The sequence below is a fragment of the Homo sapiens genome, chromosome 6 (assembly GCF_000001405.40).
Source record: "Homo sapiens chromosome 6, GRCh38.p14 Primary Assembly".
NCBI lineage: Eukaryota > Metazoa > Chordata > Mammalia > Primates > Hominidae > Homo > Homo sapiens.
The window spans coordinates 131,531,162-131,532,615 of record NC_000006.12 but is presented as its reverse complement, the minus strand read 5'-3'; the positions used below and the strand labels follow the sequence as shown (position 1 = coordinate 131,532,615).

Here is a 1,454-nt window from a genome sequence, read left to right as displayed (position 1 = left end):
TCATGTGAGAGCCTCTAAGGGTAGAACCTGAGTTACATTTGGAATGCTACTTTTTTTTTTTATACTTTAAGTTCTAGGGTACATGTGCACAACGTGCAGGTTTGTTTCATAGGTATACATGTGCCATGTTGGTTTGCTGCACCCATTAACTCGTCATTTACATTAGGTATTTCTCTTAATGCTATCCCTCCCCCTGTCCCCCACCCCACGACAGGCCCCGGTGTGTGATGTTCCCTGCCCTGTGTGCAAGTGTTCTCATTGTTCAATTCCCACCTATGAGTGAGAACACGTGGTGTTTGGTTTTCTATCCTTGTGATAGTCTGCTCAGAATGATGGTTTCCAGCTTCATCCATGTCCCTAAATAGAACAGCTCTGGTCTGCAGCTCCCAGCATGATCAATGCAAAAGACTGGTGATTTCTGCATTTCCAACTGAGGTACCTGGTTCCTCTCATTGAGACTGGTTGGACAGTGAGTAAAGCCCACGGAGGGTGAGCCAAAGCAGGGCAGGGTGTCACCTCACCCATGAAGTGCAAGGTGTTGGGAGATTTCCCTTTCCTAGCCAAGTGAAGCCGTGACAGGCTATACCTGGAAAAAACGGGAAACTTCCGCCCAAATACTGCACTTTTCCAACGGTCTTAGCAAACCGCACACCAGGAGATTATACTGCATGCCTGACTCGGCGGGTCCCATGCCCACGGAGCCTTGCTCACTGCTAACACAGCAGTCTGAGATTGACCTGCGAGGCAGCAGCCTGGCAGGGGGAGGGGTGTCCGCCATTGCTGAGGCTTGAGTAGGTAAACAAAGAGGCCAGGGAAGCTTGAACTGGGCGAAGCCCACCACAGCTCAGCAAGGCCTGCTGCCTCTGAACAAAAGGCAGCAGAAACTTCTGCAGACTTAAACGTCCCTGTCTGACAGCACTGAAGAGAGCAGTGGTTCTCCCAGCATGGTGTTTGAGCTCTGAGAATGGACAGACTGACCCCCATATAGCCTAACTGGGAGACACCACCCAGTAGGGGCCGACTGACACCTCATACAGGGAGGTGCTCCTCTGGGATGAAGCTTCCAGTGGAAGAATCAGTAGCAATATTTGCTGTTCTGCAGCCTCCGCTGGTGATGCTCAGGCAAACAGGGTCTGGAGTGGACCACCAGCAAATGCCAGCAGACCTGCAGCAGAGGGGCCTGACTGTTAGAAGGAAAACTAACAAACAGAAAGGAATAGTATCAACGTCAACAAAAAGGACATCCACACTGAAACCCCATCTGTAGGTCACCAACATCAAAGACCAAAGGTAGATAAAACCACAAAGATGGGGAGAAACCAGAGTAGAAAAGCTGAAAATTCTAAAAACCAGAGCGCCTCTTCTCCTCCAAAGGACCGCAGCTCCTCACCAGCAACAGAACAAAGCTGGACTGAGAATGACTTTGATGAGCTGACAGAAGTAGGCTTCAGAAG

General features: G+C 50.0%; 1 annotated feature.

The window, feature by feature from the left end:
- Positions 752 to 1,253: an enhancer, noted in NCBI's record as "H3K4me1 hESC enhancer chr6:131852503-131853004 (GRCh37/hg19 assembly coordinates)". NCBI's record gives its function as "activates a minimal SCP1, AML or CMV promoter by ChIP-STARR-seq in primed H9 embryonic stem cells {active_cell/tissue: H9 hESC(primed)}" and the evidence as "EXISTENCE:reporter gene assay evidence [ECO:0000049][PMID:30033119]".